This window comes from Homo sapiens, chromosome X (genome assembly GCF_000001405.40).
Source record: "Homo sapiens chromosome X, GRCh38.p14 Primary Assembly".
NCBI classification, from domain to species: Eukaryota; Metazoa; Chordata; class Mammalia; order Primates; family Hominidae; genus Homo; species Homo sapiens.
The window spans coordinates 120,361,525-120,384,708 of record NC_000023.11 but is presented as its reverse complement, the minus strand read 5'-3'; the positions used below and the strand labels follow the sequence as shown (position 1 = coordinate 120,384,708).

General features: G+C 41.9%; 1 protein-coding gene across 3 annotated transcripts; it reads right to left on the bottom strand.

Moving 5' to 3' along the window:
- ATP1B4 (ATPase Na+/K+ transporting family member beta 4) lies at positions 1,472 to 22,620 on the bottom strand. 3 transcript variants are annotated; one of them, NM_001142447.3, is made up of 8 exons: positions 22,478 to 22,620; positions 17,920 to 18,184; positions 13,866 to 13,994; positions 13,499 to 13,603; positions 9,141 to 9,337; positions 8,273 to 8,329; positions 5,936 to 6,031; positions 1,472 to 5,236 (listed from the first exon to the last, which is right to left on the bottom strand). In NM_001142447.3, exons 1-8 carry the CDS (start codon positions 22,538 to 22,540, stop codon positions 5,075 to 5,077), a joined length of 1,074 nt encoding a protein of 357 aa, NP_001135919.1. In that variant the 5' UTR covers positions 22,541 to 22,620; the 3' UTR covers positions 1,472 to 5,074. The 3 variants fall into 3 exon arrangements, with proteins under 3 accessions (NP_001135919.1, NP_036201.1, XP_016884870.1); NM_012069.5 differs by having other exon boundaries at positions 17,932 to 18,184; XM_017029381.2 differs by lacking the exons at positions 1,472 to 5,236; positions 5,936 to 6,031; positions 8,273 to 8,329 and having other exon boundaries at positions 8,886 to 9,337.

Genomic DNA, 23,184 nt, shown 5'->3' with positions numbered 1-23,184 from the left:
CACTCAGTAACTGTGCTAGATATCGCCAGTTTGCCCCTCCAGATGCACTCTCCACCTTTCTCCACCCTGCTTTCTTTTTTTAGGAGTCTGACCTGTATGGGCTGCATCAATCTTTTTGTTTGTTCGTTTTTGTTTTTTTTGTTGTTGTTCCCCCACCCCCGCCGCCAGCTTTTGGTTGGGTTTGGCCAATGAGAAAAATTAAGTTGCAATATTTATTCTCCCTAAAAGATCACCTTGGGCTAGCTTAGTCCTTCAACAAAGTCACCACTCCTCTCAAGGCAGCCAGTTGTACACAACTCATTCCTTCTGAGTTCTAGTAACCATTTCCTGCTCCTATACCTTATGGTCAAGAGATGGTAAGAGTTCAGCTCTTACTAGGCTGGGTTACTGTGTTATTGGTGGTTCCCTATATCTATGCTTCTGTAAGTAATCCCTTTGTAAATAAATCTTCTTCCAATTATCCTTTTTTTGTCAAGTGTGCTATCTATTTCTTGTTGAGTTATGGTCATATAGGGGTCTGCAAGGAAGTACATTTTGCGGAGTGAGTTGTCAGACTGAAAGCTTACTATATTCTGCTTAAAACTTTTGGATCCCGCTGTCAACCCTTCTTCCCTTCTAGATTGCAACTGAAGAACTTTGTGAAGTAGTGTTTCCATTTATTTTTCCTTGCCCTTTGCCTCCATACATCGTATCCACTCTCCTTCCTCCCAACATATGCATATAAATACCCAAACCTCCATTTTCTGCCTGGAGAAAAGCACAGTGTAAATCATACTTCTGTATGGTTTGGTTAAATTACTTTATTATGTATGAATATTTTAAGAGGGAGGCAGTAAAGAAAATGACTCTAATGAAGAATTTAGACAGGGAGAAATATGTTGGGATCAGGGATCTGTTGCCTAGCAGACTTTAGGCTGAGGCAGCTTCCAAGGAAAGAAGGAAAGATTCCGAGGAAAGATTCCTGCTACAGCCTAGCCTCTGAGTTGAATAAAGGATTGGAAATATTTATGTCTTTAATTGCAATTGCCATTACATATTTGCTCTGGGAAACAGTTTGTGGCTAGATGTCCTTAAAGCCATTTAGCCAGACTTTCATCAAACATTTTCAAAGTTTCTCTTCTAATTTTGGTTCTGTCCCTCAGCCTGAAAGTTTCTCTTAGTGTTCCTCTCCTACACAAACAAACATAACAGTTTATACCAGGACTCAACCTTGATAAAGAAAGGCTGCTCTCACAAAGCAGTCTAACGAGAAACCAGAGCACAGAGACTACAAAGGAAAAAATGCCCAGAAATGAAACAACTTTTAGTTTTATCCTCCTGTGACTAAACCCTAAGAGTCAAAAAGAGGGGAGAGAGAAGAAAAACAATATTTAACTAACAGGTTGTCAATTGTCAAGTTTTCCACCCACATGGCTGCCCAATATTCCAGTGGGAAAATCAGTGATATGGTCTAGAAAGAGAAAATCATACATTTCTTTTTTATTTCAATTTATTGTTGTTGACAACTCCTCAAGACAATATAAATGTTTTTTTACATGTTGATCCCCAGAAAATAGGTGCCTAAAAAAAGTTACTTTAGGATAATGATTTCAGGGGAGTAGAAGGTGAAAAATCATAACCCAAAGTCCAGTATGGACAAAACCATGAAGACATTTGGAAGTAGTATTTCTCATTGACAAGCAAGTAAAACCAAGTGCATTGCAACAGATGGCATACAAATCAAATCCTGATGCAGCACGGTATGGGGAACTATTTAAATTAATCTACTAGAAGTCTATTGAACAGTTAGAACATAACTTTAATGAATATATTATCATATCCAGTTCTGTATAGTAAACCTACATTTTTCATGTCCTAGCTGACAACCCAAACTATCTTAGTACCCTTCAATATTGCTTTGCAATTGTGGACACAATGGATTCCATTGAAAGATAAATATTATTTGACAAATGATTCATAATTCCTTGTCTAATAGTCAATGCATTTAACAGGATAATGTATTATGTATAAAGTATAGCACCAGTAGTTGAATTCCTGTGAAATGTTAACTATTTTAACTCAAAATTTACATACGTTTCAAAATGTTTGGGATATCATTCATTGATTTTTAAGAAGATGGTACTTTCTGGTAAGCAGCAGCTCAGAGTAGAAAGAGCACTGGACCTGGAGTCAGATGCAATGCAAGTTGTTTTTTCTAAACACTCTCTAATATCCTTTCCAGATCTAACATTCTATTATCTTTTACTACTGAATCTTGAGAGTTTGATTGAGGTAATTTTCAAGTGGTTTAAAAGTTATTGTCTTTTTCATTTTGTTCCTTTTCTTTTTAAAGGTTAGTTTTGAAAATTGAATTTGTTAAGAAAATGGGTTGAGAGGAGGCAGTTTCATTGTATGTTTGTTTGTTTTTGTATTTTCCATTAACCTACTATAGAAGATCCTATATCTTCTAGAACTTGTTAGTAGTGGTTGGCCTCCCTTTACTGTGTCAATAAGACTTTGAAGGTGTCTGGGAAGGAGATTCCAAAGAGGAACAGCAATTCTTTCTGCCACAAGAGAAAAAACACTGTTAGGGACTAGATTGGTATAGTATGTTTACATGACTGGCTTCAGTTCCCAAGATTAAATAGCTTAAAATTTCTTAAGCGAGTTCCCTTAACCCAATGTTGCTTTTGTTCTCATCTTTCCTTCTCACCAACCCTACATGTGTTTACATCTCCACATCAATGTCTGACCAATAGAAAATCATGTCTAAAATGTTCAAAATTGATCTCTCCAAACCTGCTTCTCTCTTATATTCCCAGTCTTGATCAACAATGTCACCATCTTACCGGTTCTAGCCAAGCTCAAACCTTTGGAGTCATTCTCCAAACTCCTCCTTCCTTATTCCCCATTCCACAGTCTTGTCCTTCTCCAATCACCCTTCACATAGTGGTTGCCAAGTGCCCTTTCTAAATTGCAAGCCGGGTGCGGTGGCTCACGCCTGTAATCCCAGCACTGTGGGAGGCTGAGGCAGGCGGATCACTTGAGGTCAGGAGTTCGAGACCAGCCTGGCCAACATGGTGAAACCCTGTCTCCGCCAAAAATACAAAAGTTAGCTGGGCATGGTGGTGTGTGCCTGTAATCCCAGCTACTCAGGAGGCTGAGGCTGGAGAATCACTTGAATCCGGGAGGTGGAGGTTGCAGTGAGCCGAGATCACACCACTGCACTCCAGCCTGGGTGACAACAGCGAAACTCCATCTCAAAAATAAACAAATAAATAATAAAGTAAAATAAAATAAAACACAAATGTGATCACAGAGCCTCCCTGATTAAAATGCTTTAATTACTCATTTTCACCTATTGGATAAAACTCAAAGTCCTCTTTCCATCCCTGAATACCTCTCTAGCTGGATCTCTTGCCATCCCTGCCATTCCTCTGAGCCCTTTTCATTCCAGTTACATAAACTGCTCACAGTTACCCAGACACACCATGGTCTCTTCATGACTGTGGCTTTGCATGTGAAATTTCCTCTGCTACTTTCTTAGCTCAAGATATTTTTCCTCATATTCCCATAGCTTTCCACATACTAGTTTTTTAACTCTCATTAAACTATATCGTATAACTTCTCCACTTGCTTGTCTTCACTACCAGACAGTCAGTTCCCTGTTTTGGGAGAAAGGAAACATTGTAGAGGAGATTCAGACTTTGGATCCTCCTAGGTGGCATTTAAACTTGCTTCGGACCCTGAGACACTATACTATTCGCTGATGCTTGCTTTTTTTTTCTCCTTGTGCCAGCCTTCCCCCTGGTGGAGGTGTTAAGAAGCAGTTGAGTGATCAGGTGACCAAAGATAAGACAAAGTGACCTGGCTGATCCACATCCTGGATAAGAATCTGCCTCATGTCATTTTTAAAGTAAATGCTAAACTGGCTAATGGGCCTTGGCTTTTGCCTGGCCTGGCAAGGAACGTTCTGTCTTGTCATGTATTCATTGACAGATTATGATTTCAATTTCCAGAGCTGTAGCTGCTGGTCTATGTAACCACCCCTGATGGTCTCAAAAAACATCATGCTACTGTCAAACAAATAGCCCAAGAAGAATTAGCTGGTGGGAATCTTCTTCCATGTTGTCTCCTCTGCCTGAAGCTGAGAAAAACCTGTTTGCAGGAATGTTTGCCTTTAGACGATTACACCAGAGAGCAAGGAATCAAACACCAATCATATCCATATGCTAAGTGTTCTCCCCAGTTGCAGTGAGCCCCACCTCTTTAAAAAGTCACAAGGACGGTCTTCATCTCTATCCCAGAACAATATCCTGTTAGCACTGCTTTTTTCCCAGTTGAAAATAACCTAGTCTTTGAATAAGCACTTAGTTGTCTGTGGGAGGCAGAAGTTTCTTAGGCACCAGGATATAGAGGTCTTTAGGTATAGCGGTCTTGGTTGTCTAGGTTGGACCGAGTGGTGATTCCCAGGGAAGGACCTTGCCAGGCAGGTTTTTTTTTTCTTCAGAGACAGGATCTCACTCTGTCACCCAGGCTGGAATGCAGTGCAGCTCACTGCAGCCTTGACCTCCTGGGCTCAAGTGATCCTCCTGCCTTAATCTCCTGAATAGGTGGGACTACAGATGCATGCCACCACACCCGGCTTAGGCAGATTTTTTTTAAACATGTGTTAGGTTATTAGCCTGGTTGGGAGGAATCTGACCTCTAAAACCAACAGAATTTTAGAAAACATGATGAATTTATAATCATAATAGAAATTCTCCTTGATGGCTATTGCGTGGCTATTGTAAATTTTATCAGATACTATGTTTACGCTACAGGGAGATTACCAGCAGCAAGAACAGGCTTTAGTTTTAAGTGGAGGGAAAGGAAATTAATATACTCTGTTTGTCATCAGGAGACACTACCTTTAAAAAATCGAACAGCTCCCACAATGTCATTTTATACACATGTCATAGGCAAGGAAAGATGATCGGCTGTCTTAGATGTCCATCTGGCTGTGTCCTAATTGAAGAAAAAGAATTCAGGTGCTACCAGAGATACCATGAGATAAAACAGAAACAGAACTGGTAAGAATGGCCCCCTGAAGTTCTTAAGTTTCTATGTTCAGGGTAAAGATTACCCTGCCCACAAAACGATCATTGATGACATCATTTATGACGCCTTTGCCCTTCAGTTGGCACTGCACAGGCACTGCTTGGTTCTTCACCACGTCTGTAAAGTGCATTGCCACCAAGGGGGATGTGTAGTTAACCTGCAGGTAGAAGAAAAATGAATTCTAAGTGTGGGGAGGTGGTAGGAGGGAAGTGATCAGATAATCACTGCAGGATGACAACCCTCACAAAGAGAACTGAGTAAATCCCATGATGCCAATTTGCAAATGGCCAAAGCAACAGACATACTCTCCTTGCAGTGGGAAAGTGTGGGAAAATCATACATTTCTCTAACAAGTCACTGTCAGATATCTGATTGTCCTCTGGGAAAAACCAATTCTGATTCAGCATGATATGATTTTTCTGGAAATCAGACCATGAATTAAACCAAAACTAGTGTCTATCGAGTCCCTGTGTTGGGGACTCACCCCAGCGCTTCAAATGGGAGAAACAGAAGCGTGATTATTAGGGCATGTTTAAGCACATTGGTAGTAATTTATCTGCTCCTGACCCTGCCACTAACTTAGCTGTATGGTCTTGGGCAAGTCACTTTCTGTCTCTGAACCCCAATTTTCCCATTCGTAAACTTAAAAGGTTAAATTAGGCCATATATGAGATTCTTTCAGATATGGAAAGGAGTGTGGTTGTGATAAGAATTGGTAAAGGGAGCTCCTGGTTATGGCCAGCAGCTATTTACCCCTCTACTATCTCCTGCTCCCTAATTCTCATAGATCCCAGCCAGCTCTTCTTTTGTCACTGAGCCCTTTCTGACAGCAATGACTAAAGGGAATACAGCTTACGTGAGTCAGTTTGCCGTAGTAAGGGTAGTAGCGGAGGTCAAAAGAAGCCGACTCTGGGTAGTAACTGATGGATCGGATGTCATTTTCATCACCTCTCTGTAAGCAAAAGCAGGTATATGTGGGGTGCTGGGTCACAGAGTGGGCTAGAGTCTGAGCTAAAGGGAGTTGTACCCAGGTGAAATCACTGTGTGAACCATAACCAACTGTTCCAGGAAGACCATGAAAGCAGAATGGAGCAGAGCTCAGCCGTGACCTGTCCCTAGATGAGCATTTTTAGGGAGTGACTGTGCCTTGTCTTTTCAGTTCAAAGAATATTGAGTAGAAGGCCTGAACTGAGGAGGACAAAGGTGCTCAGTATGGCTCTCTGTTGGCTTCTGGGGTACCCAGACAGAAGCAATCCAAAGGGCTTGCAGTACCTGATGCTGCTCTGGAAAGAGGACCTACAACTCCAGCCTTTCTCCAAAGAACCACACTGGGCCTGGCACCCAGTCTTGGACTTTGGAGCTGAGGAAGATATACGTTAGAACATATTTAGTAAATCCCACTCCACGATTTGCACACTGCAGGCTCGGTTCTATTGGAAGTCAGATCAAGTGCATAGGTACCTGATACACAGGCACACAGCCTACAGTTGGCTCACCTAGACTCATGTCTCTGACCATATTCTCTGTAGTGCTTAATTACAGTAGGTGGGGTCAGAGGGGTAAGCAACAAGAGCCTGGGTATGGAAATGATTAAAGTAAACAGATCTACACTCATCACATTATGTCAGGTAGGGGCTGCCCATTCTGTGATACATTCGGCTTGCCCTAAATAGCAGAGGTCTGGGGGCTAGTAAGGACAAATAGTGCATCACTACTAGCAAATTACTCACTAAGGTCATGTGATTACTTCTGTCAATATACTATAATTGTTCTTGGTACAAACTAAGCTCTCCTTAATTTATTCTAGTCATTACCTCATCCTGCTTGATTTTCACAAATGGGTGTGGATTTGACCAGTATTGTTTATTATAGAATGTATAGAGATTCTTAATATATTTTTTAAAAGGACATAAAATATGTAAGGAGGTAGCTAAAAATAATAATTAAAACATTAAAACAATTTTAGAAAGGACAGTTCTTAGCAAGGTTTGATGTAAGCTGAAAAACAAACAGCTTCCATTAGGGAACAATAAGTAGAACTCTGTCCAGTTAATATGCTAACTTAAGACTAAGTTGGTCTTTATGATTTACTTTTAATACATTCTTCTAAAAAGCAATGAAATTTATTTTTCATGAAGGCCTGAGGAATCAGTTCGGATAGTTTGTAGTGTCACCTCATGTTGTGAATATTTACACATATACATGAGAACAGAATGTGCTTCCTACCTTGTTCATTTGGCAAGTACTGCCTGACCTTTCAGAGCTCATCTTCACTTTTCACAGCACATGTAATACTTGATTGTCTTGATTTCAGAGACGGAGTCATACTCTTACCTCGACACTTCTAACACCTAGCAGAGGATCTGCTATATAATAAGTGATCAATAAATGCTTGCTAAATGTGGGATATTGGCTGAATAACTGCTGCCTTTTGCTGTTTTCTGATCTGTCACCATGAAGACTGAAGTTTTCAACTGTATTTCTCCTACTGAGAATGGGATTACCAGGCCTCACGCATTTGCAAGACAACTATCCAGGTCTGGGGGTGCAGTTGATGTCATAGAACAGGAGAAAGCTACTGCCTGTTTAAGAAGCAAACCCAAGATCTAAGGGCTTTTTCCTACAAGGGAGCTAATTGGTGCAGATGAGATAGAAGTTAATGGTCCCTCGAAGGACAGTTAATTAGCATATTAATCGAGTTCTGTTTATACTTCCCATGTAGTCATTTGTTATTGCAACACCCAGTACCACTGGTCATTGCTGCAAAATGTGAAATTCAGTTTTAAAATCTGGGAACTAATGACTCTAATGAAAGCTGTTTGTTTAGTTCAAAGAAACAAGTAATTAGAGCTAAAAGCAAAAGTGTAAACAGAATCTCAATTAATGACTTGGCACATTGTTGTTCCCTGCTGTGGCCCTTAGCTGAAGTTCAGTCTTTGGTTTTCAGAAGTATTAATCATGACAGACTGACTGACACACACACATACACACACATACACTATACACACAAACACACATGAATTGAATGCTTTCTGGAAAGAGGAAAACCTGAAGGAACTAAAGAGAGGTGTAGTTATGAAAAGATTAACCTTTTCCTTAGCCTACCATCCATGTGTAAGTCCTTGAAAGTGATGGACTACCTTTTTGCATGAAACAGATGTGCTAACAATGCTTACTCAAAAGGACTCTTTACCTGAACTTTGCAGGAAACCTTCACAGGATCTCCAAGCTCAGGACGAAAGCCTACAATCTATCAAAAGAAAACCAGTGTTTTATTTTTTTTTAACAAAACATATTTGACAGTAAAAAATTGGGCTTTTCTAACCTTCCTCCCAGTCATGCTTCCTCAGGCATATGCTTCATCTATTTCGCCTTCTCAGAAATGTTACAAAAAGCAAAAAATGAAAAACATCTTCAGAGCTAAGCAGCTCAGCTTACTCCGTGTTGTATTTATGCCTGGTATTTACACACAAGGGGAAACGTCAGCAAGTCAATGCTAAAGATGTAAAGAACTTTCTAATTTCAAGAGAGGTGTGACTGATAAGGCTCTGCCACACCTAAGTCATGACAGGATGGAAGAAAAATGCATTTTTATGATATAAGAACTGTCCCCCATGCCACCCTCATTTCAATCCCCTGTTCCAAACAGCTCAGTATTCCATTCTTTATTTAAAATACTTTTTTAAAAAATTAAAGATGAAGTCTCACTATGTTGCCCAAGTTAAACTTGAACTCCTAAGCTCAAGCAACCCTCCTTCCTCAGCCTCCCGAGTAGCTTGGATTATAACCTCGAGCCACTGCACTTGACTAGGACCCCATTCTTGACAAAGGCCATCAAGTGACAGGTTTGGGGGTGAGGGAGAAGAATGGCCATAGGAAGTGCTCGGTGGGCGGGGGGGAAGAAATTGATAGGTTTATCTGGTTATTTGTATTTATGATACTGTCAGAAAAATGGCCAAACCTGTGGTGTGTGAAGACAGAGACCAAGACAAATGGAGTGGCCAGAGCCCTCCTATCTAGTTCATTCGCTTATCACCACCAGATATGAAAAGCCAATATACCCGGTTCATCTTTAGAAGGATGCAGGGCTGTCCAGTAGAGTATCCAAAAGTTGGGTCCTCCAGACCAGAGCAGTTCTTTAGGAAGGAGCGCTTAAATTGGCAGGCCTTCTTGTCCTCATCCTCATTGCCATCTTGGATGAAGTACTGCCCCGGGGGACAATCTACATTCATTTCCTCTTGAAGACTGTCATTATAACCTAAAGCATGTGTGAGTGGCAACAGGTTATGTTAGACAGGTGCTACAGGGGAAGGCCGTGCGTTCAGTAGTCCTCCCTCCCAAGTTTCCTTTCTCCAGCTTGTTTGTACTCCTCTGAAAGCCCACTCAGTCTACCTGTGACCTGGCATCAGGTGCCCAACAGCCTTCATCGGCAGCCATCCCTCTAGGAAGTCTTCCTGACTAGTCACTTCAGCCCAGTTTGATTGCCTGTTCCTTTGCTTTTCATTCCCATGGAACTTCTGGATATCCATCTCTGGGTCCTATGTCAGTCACTTTATAAATTTTCTCTATTTTCCACCATTTCTTTTCAGACATGATAAACTGTAAACTTGGAAGGCTGTCCCTTCTACTTCTGAGAGAGAAATAGGCACATAGTTGGTAGATTTTGGAAGAGGGACTGAAACATTCAAGGTATGGTATATAAGGGTATATATAAGGGTATATATATATACCAGGATATATAAGGATATACCCTTATATATACCCTTATATATAATATATATATACCCTTATATATAATATATATATACCCTTATATATAATATAATATATATAAGGGTATATAATATATATATATTATATATATATAATATATATATATACACCCTTATATATAATATAATATATATATTATATATAAGGGTATATATATATATTATATATAAGGGTATATAATATATATATTATATATTATATTATATATATATAATATAATATTATATTATATATAAGGGTATATATATATTATATATAAGGGTATATATATATTATATATAAGGGTATATATATATTATATATAAGGGTATATATATATTATATATAAGGGTATATGGTATATATAAGGGTATATCCTTATATATCCTGGTATATATAAGGGTATATCCTGGTATATATAAGGGTATATATATGGTATATCCTGGGTTAAATCTCCTTAACTTCACTTAGGAAACAAGGTGAACCCATTGGGCAGTTACAAATCTGGGGGCTCTTTTGGGATTGCCCTTATGGCTACCTGCTCGTGGTTCAGTAGCACCCCACCTCCCGACCTGGCAATGGATCCAGAGGCCAGCCCAAGCAGCCACCTAGTTCTCTTGGGCTGGAGGCCGACTCTGGTACTGTCTCCACTGGCGGGGCACTGCAGACCCAATGTACATGGATTTGATTGCAATAGAGAAATAGTCCTGGGGAGATTGATTTGAGTAATAATAAAAATCCAGTCTCCCGCACAGCTGGCTGGGTGTGGATTACTCTGTCTCTATTGCAATACCCCTGTCTTGATAAATCAGCTCTGTCTAGATGGTGGGCAAGGTGAACCCGCTGGGCAGTTACAATGTCTCCCTTTGAAGTCAGTGAGAGGCACCTGATTGTAAGAGTGAGAAGTATGAGTTGTGAGACAGAAGGAAAGTGGAAGAAGAGGAAGAGGAGGAGAAGGAGGTGGAGCAGGAGGAGGAGGCGGGGGAGGGAATAAGCCAGCTCTTCATCCTTTACAGAGGGAAGTTAGCACTGCAAAACAGAAGCATAAGTTAAAAGATAGAAACCAATGACAACCACAGGGTCTCTACGGGGATGGTGAGGGCATGAGATCTTGTCAACTGAGGCCTGAGACATTCAGGATAAATGTCCTTTTACATTGGATGGAATGTAACATGTGTCCAAGGATACATATATCAGGGAGAAAGCTTAAAAGGGCTATTTGTGAGGTAACCCTTTGGGCTACCAAATTTCATACATAAAACTGGGCTTTAGAAATTACTGCATTATTTCCAATTTGATTCTAAATGATGGAGCCCAGTTAGTCCTGTTAGACTCAGTCCCTATGTATTAATGTTCAAAGTAGCTCAGTATTTCAGAGGAGATTTTGCACCTGTGATCTACCAGAGGTAAAACTCAAAATGTGCTGCTGAATCCTCATCTAATAATATCAAACCCACAGGTTGTGACTTGGGTTTGATATTATTAATCGGCAACTGCGAATTTTAAATCTATTCCAAATATGGCTATGCCTTTATTTTTTCTTTGACAAAGCTACATTTAATTCAAGGCTTTGTTTTAATTTTTTTAGAGCAAGAACTATGCTCAAATAACTTTCTAAATAGAGGCTGCGATCATGTGCTCATTGTTTCTCTTGAGGTAGTTCCATTAAAAATAATGTGACATGGACATGACCCTTATTGCAAAATCCCAGTCCTCATGGGAGTGAAAGTGATACTCTGTGATGTCTATTTCAGAGATGTGCTTCTTTTTAGCAGGACACATTATCTACTCTTAGGAACTAAAAACTAGTGCTTTTCCTAGCATTTCCTGCTTCCATCATCATCAGGTCAGAATTGGTATTTCTCTGTCTACTAGCTTCTTGGAGGGATTTTCTTAGCAGGGAATCCGGCAATATATTTGCAATCGCTTGCAAGCATTCTGAAACAAAAGAAGATACTGTGCTGGCCATGATGCCCAAAACATTTCTGTAGCTAAAAATAGAACTACATGGACTCAGAAAGAACCCAGTCCCGTCTCCCCTCGTTTCACTGGTAAGGAATCTGAAGCTCAGACTTACCCAAAATAACACTGAGCCTTACTGATATAAAGCTGAATTTCTAACTCTTGGTCATGTGACAGCAGCGTAGAATTATGAAAAGCAGCATGTCTCAAACTTTAAATTTCCTACAAATCACCTGTGGATTTTTTAAAAATGCAGATTTTGATTCAGCAGGTCTAGAATGTGGTCTGAGATTTTGCCTTTCTAACAAACTCCCAGGAGATGCCCATGTTGTTGGTCCCTTTATAACACTTATAGCAGCGAGAGTGTAAAGAACAAGAAATGTGGATTCAAACACTGGTTCTGCTGCCAGAGTCTTTGATCAAGCTACTCCCCCTTTCTGAGTCTCAGTTTTCTCATTTATAAAATGAGCGTGATCAACTTTATTATGCAGAGTTAAAGTTAAATGACCAAATTTATGTATTTAAATAACACCTCCTAGCACATGATAAGAGATTGTTCTCCTCCTAATTCAGTGCACTTGTTATAATAGTAGCCGCCTCTAGAATGGATCAACCCCACTTCAACCAGGCCAGGACAACCAAGCCAGAATGACTGGCATTTTTTTCCCCACAAAGATTAGGTGCAGAAATGCAAACCCCACTGGAGCTCCTCTTTGATAGCTGCATAAAGAACCTGTGTGCTCTGTTAACCTTAACCAAGCTGCTACCTCAGATTTTACCTTGTGGAAGCGTCTCCCACAAAGCCATTCATTTGCCCCTGAAAACTTATCTGATGACACTATAGAGATAGGCACCTCGAAAATACTTGGGATCAGAATGTTGGAGCGACTGCCACCCAGAGATTCTTCCTCTAACTCCTTTCTGGAATGCTGTTAAATAATGACACTTGGCTGGGCGCGGTGGCTCATGCCTGTCATCCCAGCACTTTGGGAGGCCAAGGCACGTGGATCACAAGGTCAGGAGATCAAGACCATCCTGGCTAACACGGTGAAACCCCATCTTTACTAAGAATACAAAAAATTAGCAGGGCGTGGTGGCACGCACATGTAGTCCCAGCTACTCAGGAGGCTGAGGCAGGATAATCGCTTGAACTTGGGAGGCAGAGGTTGCAGAGAGCAGAGATCAAACCACTGCACTCCAGCCTGGGCGACAGAGTGAGACTCCATCTCAAATAAAATAAAGACGCTTGCCCTCTCCCTTCAAGTTAACCCATCTCCAAGAAATGACTTCTTTTACCTTGAGAAAGTTTAGAAGATAGGAATCTTTCAGCTCTGGAGAACATTCTTCTTTTCCCACCACTATCTCCCCCAAGAATTATCTTCTATAAATGATCATTATTGAGCCATCTGGATATGTTCAGGGCTTAAATGGGTACTGTAACGTGTTCAAGAAAAAAAATTTCTCTGCCACAAAGAGCTTATCTTGCTGGAAAATTGGCTTGTATGTTTTCAAGACAACATACAATCACACACTAGAGCAATTCTGATTGTAGCTACAGGTGCTAAGGGGGATGCAAAGTAAGGACAGACCATGATGAGTTGGGGTTAGTAAGACTGGGATTCCTGGGCCAGGTGAATTTTGAATTTTGGATTCCCACCCATCACCTTTCAAAAGAGCTTTCCACTATTCAGACGAACTTACTTACCCTGGAGAAAGCCATTTAGGCTAATCACATAATGCTGCCAAGTGTCGGGTTCAGAAACGTTGAAGTTGAAGTTAAGGCTATGGGCGAAGGGTCTGATCATAACTCCTGGCAATGAAAACAGGTCTTGGATATATTAACCCATTCTTGGGATAATTTTTTTGTATTGATTCCCATGAAACCATTTCCCCCCAGGCAATCAAAATGAAAAGAACCATAATTTGCCAAGTACCATTTTACTTTTCCTCCTAATAATTGAATCTCTAAGTCATTACCAGGAAGAGCCAAAGTTAATTGAGGCTGAACATGCTGTGCAAGCATATTTCTGTCCAGCAAGTTCTGACAACACAGGGCATCTGGGCACACTCACCAGGAGGCTTTACCCGCTCCGTGAAGGTTGGTATATAGGGACTGATGGTCAGAAATAGTGTGTACATGCAGAGGGTGATCACAGCAGCCAAGGAGGCATAGAAGAAGAAGTAAATGAGTAAGATCAGGCCTGCAGAGCAATCACAGATGAGAGTGGTCAGTGCTTGCCAACAAGCTCTTCCTCCCTGCTTGGACTCATGAACCAGAACAAACCCAACCACGAAATAGCTCTTTAAAAAATTCCTCAGATTCAGTATGTCCTTGCTTATTCAGATTTCACCAATTTGGAGTCAGTGAGGATTGTGTCAGGGGTCTAATTGCAGTTTACCTTTACAGCATCTCCGATGGAAGGGCTTGCTCAGCAAATGATGGCCATGAACAAGAATACAGGGGAGTGGAGTTAAAAGTATTGCAGAGGGAAAATTGCTTGAGAGTCCTCTGGGCAACAGTTGATGTCCTAAGTACAAATCATTCTTTGCTATTCATTAAAGTGGGTGCCCTGAAGAGTCCTAGCAGCTTGGTTCCAATAATTATAGGTATTTGAAGTGATGAAAACAGCATTTCTTTCCACATAGTCTATAATTCAAACTTTTGATGAATTTCCACTGGACTTGCCTCCAATCAAGGCAAAGTGAGGTTTTGGCCTGCTTATTTCAAATTGTATTCATCTTTAGCAAAGATGAATAAAATGGCTCTGCTTTTCAAAAAGAACACTAACACAGGGTGGGGAAGGGAAAAGGAGGAGACAGTACCTAATCACTGACACTTGCCCGTGAACTTTGGCAAGTTACAGAACTTCCTTGCACCTCCAATTCCTCACAGGTAAGATGGGGATAAAAATAGCACTTACCTCGGATTCTTATCTATATCCCTAACAATATCTGAAATTCAGTCTTTCCTTAACGTCCTATCCTGACTACACCACTTCCAAGCTGATTAATCTTGGACATGCTGTTCACCTCTCTGGGCCTCAATTTCCTCGTCTGTACAATAGTGGTACTTACTTCTTAGCATTGACTAATGCATATAAGCAGCATAGCACAGAGCCTGGCAAATACTAATTGCACCATAAATGGCAGTCATCATCAGTTATTATTAACATTATTATTAGTGCTGTAGGACCGTTGTGTGAATTTTCCCTCTTTGGGCTGTATTAGGACTAGGTTTGTCCCAGGATTAGGCAACACTGAGTGAAGTGAATGAGTATGAGATTGCTGATGAGAAACTCTTTTCAAGCCCTCCTTGGGGCTCTCTCAGGCAACAATGTTTGGCTCTGCTCACAGAAATGACATGATGTTGGACCTACAGATTTGAACTGAATTATGAACCAGAAACTGGAACAAACCACTTAACTTTGCTGTACCCCAAACTGAATCCAAATGTTAATTTTTAAATTGAACCATGAACCAAATAAAATTAACCAAAAAAGGTGTTGTGGAAGGGAGAAAAAAAACCCATAGTAATCCGACTGGAAATGGAACTGACCCTTTTTATTTTATTAGATGAACTAAAGCAGAACTGGAACATGAACACATTGATTCAGTTGGAGTCCCTGGAGAATAAACGACAGCACCTGTGTGCCTGTGATACTTGGCTGTTGCCCACTGGCTATCTAATGGCATTTGCCCTGTGTTTCTGCCTCCATTCCTTTACCCCATCCCTGTCCTAGGAATGGATCAACAGCTAGAGCCATCCATGGAGATCAAAAGACTCAGTTTCATGGATGAAGGGAAAGCAATGGAACATAGGTACATTCCTTTGGAGATATCTTCCTTTTTTCCCAGGATGTGTGACCAGGAAGCTGTAGATGGGAGAATGACACTAGCAGTAAGTCCCCTTAGCCTCACCCAGGAGTGGGCGCCCTAGAGTTTATGATAGGTGATCACAGACTGAGATAGCTAGCTCAGCCACCCCCAGGTAAAACCAAGCACAGTCCCCATTTGAACCCATTGATCCCTCTGACACTTTCTGCCCTGGATGTCCAAGTATTACTTGGGTCTTTCCTCTAGGTACTCTAGAGTTCTTTCCTCAATGCCCCACCCGGGCTTGAATAGACCACTAAGTAACCGTGCTCCCAACTCTTCATTTCTCCCACTAAAACACCGTGTCAAGTCCTGAGGCCCTACACATCAGGGCCTTGTTCATTGTTAGAGTTCATGAAATGGGGCAGTGTTCTGGCAAAAGAATGAACTTTGGTGTTCATCCAACCAGGATTTGTAATCCCAGCACTGCCACTTAGTAACTATATGACTATAGGCAAGTTACTTACCCTCTCTAAGCCTCAGTTTCTGCATCTGTAAAATGGGGATAATAATATTACTACCTCATATGATTCTTGTTGGTATCCAATAAAATAACATAGAGTTTCCAAGAATAGGGGTTGCGTAGATACCAAAGGAAAGGCCCAGATTATATTCATAGGCCTGGTAAATATATTGGGCAGGTTGATGTCCAGGTTGGGACAGCATTAGTAAGTGCACAAGCGGGCACCTTGTTCTCAGGAAAGAAGACAGCAAGGCGTGTGCTTTATGGCTGAAGCATTAACATTACCATTCACCCTTTGCCCAGGGTAGCCCAGTGGATGAATTCCTGGGCTCTACTTAGATCTGCTACTCAGAGGTCTGGCTACGGCCTATCATGCTGTGTCCCTATTGCCATATCTTCTCTGGGCACTTGAACCTTCCTCCCTCATCCCCACTTATTGGCCTATGGATTGCCTTCCACAGAAGCAATTTGGATCAGCTCATCTGGTGAAGATCTAATGGCTGGTTGTTTAGGCTCCCCCTCCCAGATTCACACTTGCATTTCACAAGGCTTGTTTTTCCAGTCCTCTTTAGGCAAGGGAGAAACAGCTGTGCACCCTTGGAGCCCCAAGTGAGTGTCCAGTATTTGTCTGCAACTTCCAGAATGTCGGAATGTTCCTTAAATGGTACATTTGTTCCAGTTGAGAGTTTGTGGGATGGTCAGGGGTGGGGCTGGGAATTGGGGAGGGGTGAAGGGAGATCCCACGTGCTATTCCTAATTCCAGGAAACAGAGCTTAGTGTGTCACCTTGACTGAGCTGAATTAGCAACATTAACTTTGAGGGAGAGAATTCTTAGCCAACGGGGCCTTTAGAAGACATGGCCATCAATTTCAGCAACCTAGACCCTTGGCACTAGGGGACTGTTATTTCATCCTTGGCATCCTCTATTTTTTTTCTTCTGTGGATTGACTGATTTCCAAACCAGCAGCTGCTCTTTTTCTGGGCTGTGCAGAGACTGTGGCAAGTGTGAATTTTACCACTGGCTAAATCTCCTGAGGAGAAGGCTCAGCATTAATAGTTTAAGGGTGGGTAAGACTGTAGGAGGTGAGTGCTGGTGAAGTTGTGGAGTAAAAATAATGGCAGCATGTGATGCAAAGAGGAAATGCTAAGGAATATAATTCTGCCACTGATCAAACATCTCTATCATAGCAGAAGAAGACACCCACAAGCTGGGGCCAGGGACACGCCTCCTGGCTCTCCTTCTCTGACATTACCAGGTGATGGGGCCTCATAAAAACACTTGGTCATGTTAGCAGGGATTTGAGTCTCATTTCTTACAAGAAGTCTTCTGCATAGTTCTTTAAACTTTACAGTTTTAACATCTAATTGGGGCCTCACTCTGATCCTGTAAGAGAAGCAAGTCAGGGATTGTTTTCCTCATTTGGCATGTGAGGAAACTGAGGCTCAGAGAGGGGAAATGATGAGTCCACGGTCACGTGGATAGAAAGTGACAGGACTGGGACTTAAAAAAATCATGTGCTTTTTCAACTCATTCTCACTGTCTCTCTGCATTGCAACTGATGTTGAGCCCAGTGGGTTTTGGTTACACAATCAAGTTTGTTCATCCATTTGGAGTTTGTTCTGATGGAATCTGTCCACAGTCTAGGCATTTCCCTAGGCATTGATGCCTTTACATGAAGTGCAAAGAGAAGTTTGCAGACAAGCCCATCCAGCGTATGGTAAAGGAGCCCTGAACACCACACCAAAAGCAAAGGACACCAGACTTTGGCATTGGGACTATTGGGACTTACTCCAACTCTGACCTGTTCGGGCCAGAAACATCCTTCTCTCTGGATCCCACAGGTATTCACTCATGATCTGCAATTTCTGCCACCAGGCATTGCCTGTTGGCTGACCTTGACCCTCTTCCTCCTCCTTTTCCTCCTCTTCCTCCTCTTCTTTCTCCTCCTCTTCTTCCTCCTCCTCCGATTTGGGCACCACCGTCACCCGAGCCTCTTCTTCTGCTTCCTCCTCTTCATCTGCTAAGTAGTTCTGGTTCGCTTCATCCGGATCATCCTGGAACAGTGACAAAACACAATACCCTTTTTGAAAAAAAATGTACAATGGTGCATCCCACCAGCCAAAAATAAATCGAAATGACTCAATATTTGGAGATGCTTCAAATTTCCACTTTCCCATAAACATACATGTTGTTACAAGAGGTGGATTTTCTTTCTCCCTAGTTCTTTTGGAGGAAATATCCTTTCTATGACCCATTTTGACTCAGTATTCTTTCCATAGAGGTGCAAGTTTTATTCTCAGCTTCAGGCATTTGGGCTCTTCTCCAAGGACTGCTCATATCACTACTCTGTTCTGGGGCCTTGACCTCCCACTTAACCTTGTCCTATCAGAGTAGAGGTGAGCTCACACAGGAAGAGGATGGAATAGTCTTAGACATTGTGTCTGTGATAGCAAACTTTCAGTCCAAGCCAGCTTTATCCTAACACCCTGTACACATTCAGCTGCTCAACTTCACCATTTCAAGTTGTGTCTAAAAATAGCCTGGGACGGACATCAGGAGGAGAGGCCAACTGCTGTACCCCTCCTCAAAACTTAGCCTTCCTTCCCAACAGAAACAATAGATGGGCAGTTATTAGCTGCTTCTCTGATTATTGCCCTAGTTTGAATCTCTTCCTACCTTAAATTGGTTGGAAAGACCATCTGAGAGCTGGAACCCCGGGCTTCCTTAGTCTCCCCCTATGCTTAGGCAAAAAGCTGGGCACGTAATACATACTCAGCACATATTTGTTGATTGACTGATTGCAGCCATTACTTGAGATTTGAAACTGTAATCTTCTCTGAGTGGTTCTAAGAAAATTAAACTGAAAAAGAGAGAGGGAGAGAGAAACCTAGACTTCACCAAGTGGTGTTTCAAATGCCTCCCAGCCACAGGCCAGAGAGTTGTATCTTTGCTCTTTGGGGGTTTGCCAAGGCTTATTGCAGCAGCAGAAAATGAGGCTGCCCTCCCTTCTCTGCTGTCCAAGTCTGAAGAGTTGCGGGGCTGTGCACCTGTTGGGTTGGATGTGTCAAACACTAGAGACCAGGGGCTCTGTGCTGCCCCCTCCCGGCCTGATTCCTCAAAGGCCATTTAGAGGGCACCCTGCTAAAAATGCTGCCTTTGTTGGGGGGAGGAGGGCTCAGCAAATTGGATTGTTCAGAATCAGTACAAGTGATACAGAATGACAAGGCTCAGCTCTCAGCATTCAGTCTGCACAGCACTATCTAGCTCTTGATTATAAGCCCTCTTGAATTGCTCTCTAATTTGTTCCAATGTACAGCTCTATATAAAATATCACATCAGAACCGACAGAGACCTTCAAGATTTACTTATCCATCTGAGGCCCAGAGATGGGACAGGATCTAGCCAAAACCATGCAGTAAATTCATGATAGAGTTGACGGTCTCGGAACCTATGTCTCTTGATACCCTGGACAATGATGTTTCTCCTCTATCACATTGAGCACAAGTGCCTAGAGGTAGCTTAGTAGATTAATGAAGCACAGTGCCTTAGGTTCTGTGTTCCTAAACGATTTTAGGGCTCAAGCCTGTAATCCCGACACTTTGGGAGGCCAAGAAAGGAGGATCACTTGAACCCAGGAGTTTGATGACAGCCTGAGCAACATAGTGAGACCCTGTCTCTACAAAATTAAAAAAAAATTAACCAGGCATGGTGGCATGCACCTGTAGTCCTAGCTACTCAGGAGGCTGAGGCAGGAGGATCACTTGAGCCTGGGAGGTCAAGGCTGCAGTGAGCTGTGATCATGCCACTGTACTCCAGCCTGGGTGACAGAGTGAGACATTGTCTCAAAAAAACACAAAAAAAGATTTTAGGTGCTTATTATAATCAAGGATGGCTGACTGACATAGGCTCACAGTGTAAGGCTTAGGAAAATAAACTTCATCACTCAATGATGAATGGATTAATACCTGTTCTTAAATATCTTTCACTTGTGTGTGAACCTATGCACACATTTAAACTCCCAAACTACATTTTGAGCACCCAGAGGGAGATTCCATATTTTCTAGCCTCTCGATGGCCCTCCACAGTGTAAAGCTGACAGTTAAGTACCCAGTGGGTCCTAACCAAATATCAGTGATACCTGCCTGACTTAAAATTCCTGATGCAGGACTCTGCGGGAATGCTCTCACAGAGCTTGTCACCCTGACTGAGCTGTCATGTATATCACAGTGGGTAGCAATCATGGCCCCCAGAGAATCTACTGCACCTGAGAATCTCAGTGAATTTGAAGTATAACATTTCATTGAGGAGAAATATATATTCCCTTTATATTTCCTGAACAATTTTCTTTTCTCTCCATGTTACCTATGCCTGCCTTTAACCTTCCACAGAGGAGGCAGCTGGCCTAGGCCTCAGACTGATCTTATTTGTAGATATTGGCTCTCATGATAATCCCATTACAGATGGCTTGTCATTAAAGCTTTACCCTCCTGAGAAGAATTAATCTTCTCACGGCTAATTTGCCCCTACAGCTCTCACACCCGAGAGGCTGTGAGAGGTTCCTGAGCTTTACTTTAGGAACCTCGAATCTTTTCTCCTCTCCTCTGTTTCCAGGTAAAGGAAATGGTCACACTGTGCAAGAGAGGCCTTCCCCAAAAGATCCTCATTAATTAAATCCTGTGTAAAATGTATCTTTGTGAAACTATTTAACAAAATCCAATAGAAAATCCTTTGGTAATGAGAATGCTTATCCCTAAGATTCTGTCTTGTCACTTTCCTAAAGTGGCACTACCCTCATGTGATAGTGTGTGTGAGTGTGCTGGGATATGGTAGTGGGTGTGTGATGGGGTCATCAGGTTTCCCTGAAAGGGAAGAGTCTGAAGAACAGAGGGTAGCTCCATTTTGAGTAATCTAAATATATAAACATATAAACAAATATATAAACAAACAGTATGACCCAAAGGATAAATTTTAAATTTGTGCTCTGCAAAGAAGACAGCAAGGCATGTGTTTATACACCATAAACATTTGAATGGCTGGTTAATTTTAAAAGAGAAATTAGCACAGGATTGCATTAATTTATTTTTAAATTTGGTCAAGTATTATAAAGAGCAAGATCCCCTGATGCATTTAAAATCCAAGCCACTTAACAAATAACTGAAATTATACACAACATTTTAACAAGATTACATAGAAAAGAAGGCAAGTAAGAAATAGTTTTATACCCCTGCAGATTGTAACTGTTTTGAGAGCTGGAAGAAACTTTGGGGGAAGTTAAACGGTTCTTCAAATTGTGGCTAAAAAGCTAAGAGAAGCCCTCTGTAGATTGATAGGAGGTTAGAATAATGTGTGTTTTCTTCTGCGGGCTGTTGACAGTCTTCACTTAACTCCCTGGTTACATAAGTGGCCATACCCAAAGAAAAATGGCTTAGGCTTTGTTTCCTCCTGGGGCTGAGATCACAATCCTCTCTGGGGAACATTTCAAAATCCTCTCCCCAAAAAGCACTGCGTGTGGCATACATTAATGACTTATAGCAAAATAAATGCAAATAAACTTTTGGATCAAATAATTTGTAATACACCCTGGAAATAAATGATGAGACAAAAGAATGTATGTGTGTCTACATGTTGGGCAGTGTGGGGTGGCAGTCAGGATGGCAATGGGTAGTGGCAGATCGGGGGTTTGGAAGATGCATTCTGCAAATACAATGGAAAGAGTACAAGATTAGCAGTGAGGATATTGCATTTTCACTTTGGCTCCTCCACTAACTTGCAAGTCACTCCTGTACTCTGAGCCACAGCAGCCTCCTTTAGGTAATGAGGGGTTCTGGAGAGATAATGTCTAGGATTCCTCCCTGCTCCTATTGGGGATTCTATGATTTTAGCTATAGTTTGGAATTTCTACTTTAGAAAGAGAGCAGCTGGACTCTAAGAAGCTACCACCCAAGAGACAGCTGGGTAGGCAGTGCCTTTCATTTCCTCTTCCTCCTTCCTTCCCTCTTGGCTAAATTTCTTGCTATTAGAATTAAACTTTTATACTCCAAAAGGTCTGTGAAAATTCTATACTCCCAGGAAAAGATTTTAGAAGCCACTTATTCTCTGTTATCTTCTCCTTCCCTTATCTTTGTTTCACAGGAAGAGGGGCTTCCTCCTTTTATCCAGCAGTTTAGGGTGCCCGGGGGTGCTGGGAGTCACTGCTCCTTTTTGAAACCCTGGGCTCCCCTAAACTTCGCTGTTTCTGCCCGTCTCAAAGAGAGGCAGCCGTAAACCAAGGTCTACACAGCCCCCAACCCACCCCATTAAAATAAAAGGGGAGGGGGCAGCAAAATATTCTGCTCTCTGGCACTCACGAGTCTGTAGCGATAACTGTAAGGAAAGGATGGAGCCCTTCTGGACCGGAGTTGCCTTCTCATGGCTGTTCAGTGGGCAAAGACGCAGCAGAGGCAGGCAATCGGGTGAGAGTTCTGGAGCTTCTGCTGGTACAGGAGACACTGGTTGCTGGGGACACTTGGCGCCTGGTAAAAGTGAACCCTCCTGGCATGAGCCCTTCCCCAGAATAATCTAACATGTCCCTCTGTCATTGGTTGGCTCCTTCCCTGAATCAAGGGAAAGCCCTTATGGAAAAGCAAGCTCATCATTACAAGGAGGGGGAGATATTCTGGGTCACGAGGATGAGCAACTCACCCTCCCGCCCCCTTTATATGTCTTTCCACCCCTTGTCTTTCTCCAGCGCTTGAGATATGATGGCCCCAATGGAAATCTTAAGTCATGTTCTTCTCAATTGAGAGTTGGATATCAGTGCATGCAGGGGGTGGGTGTGGGTGGGAGTTGGGGGTGAGGGGAGATGGCCAAGAATAACTTGCTTTTTTCATAAGGCTGATCTCATGCAAAAGGATCTAGGATGTCAGGAAAGATTCCCTTTGCTCTCTCCCCCCACCCCCACACACACTGTAAGCCACCTACAATATTTCTTATTTGTGTCAATCCATGAGCTTCTTAAAATGTGGATTATTCTTTCTGATTTTAGAAGCCAGGCTCCTACTTCATTCCTCCCTGC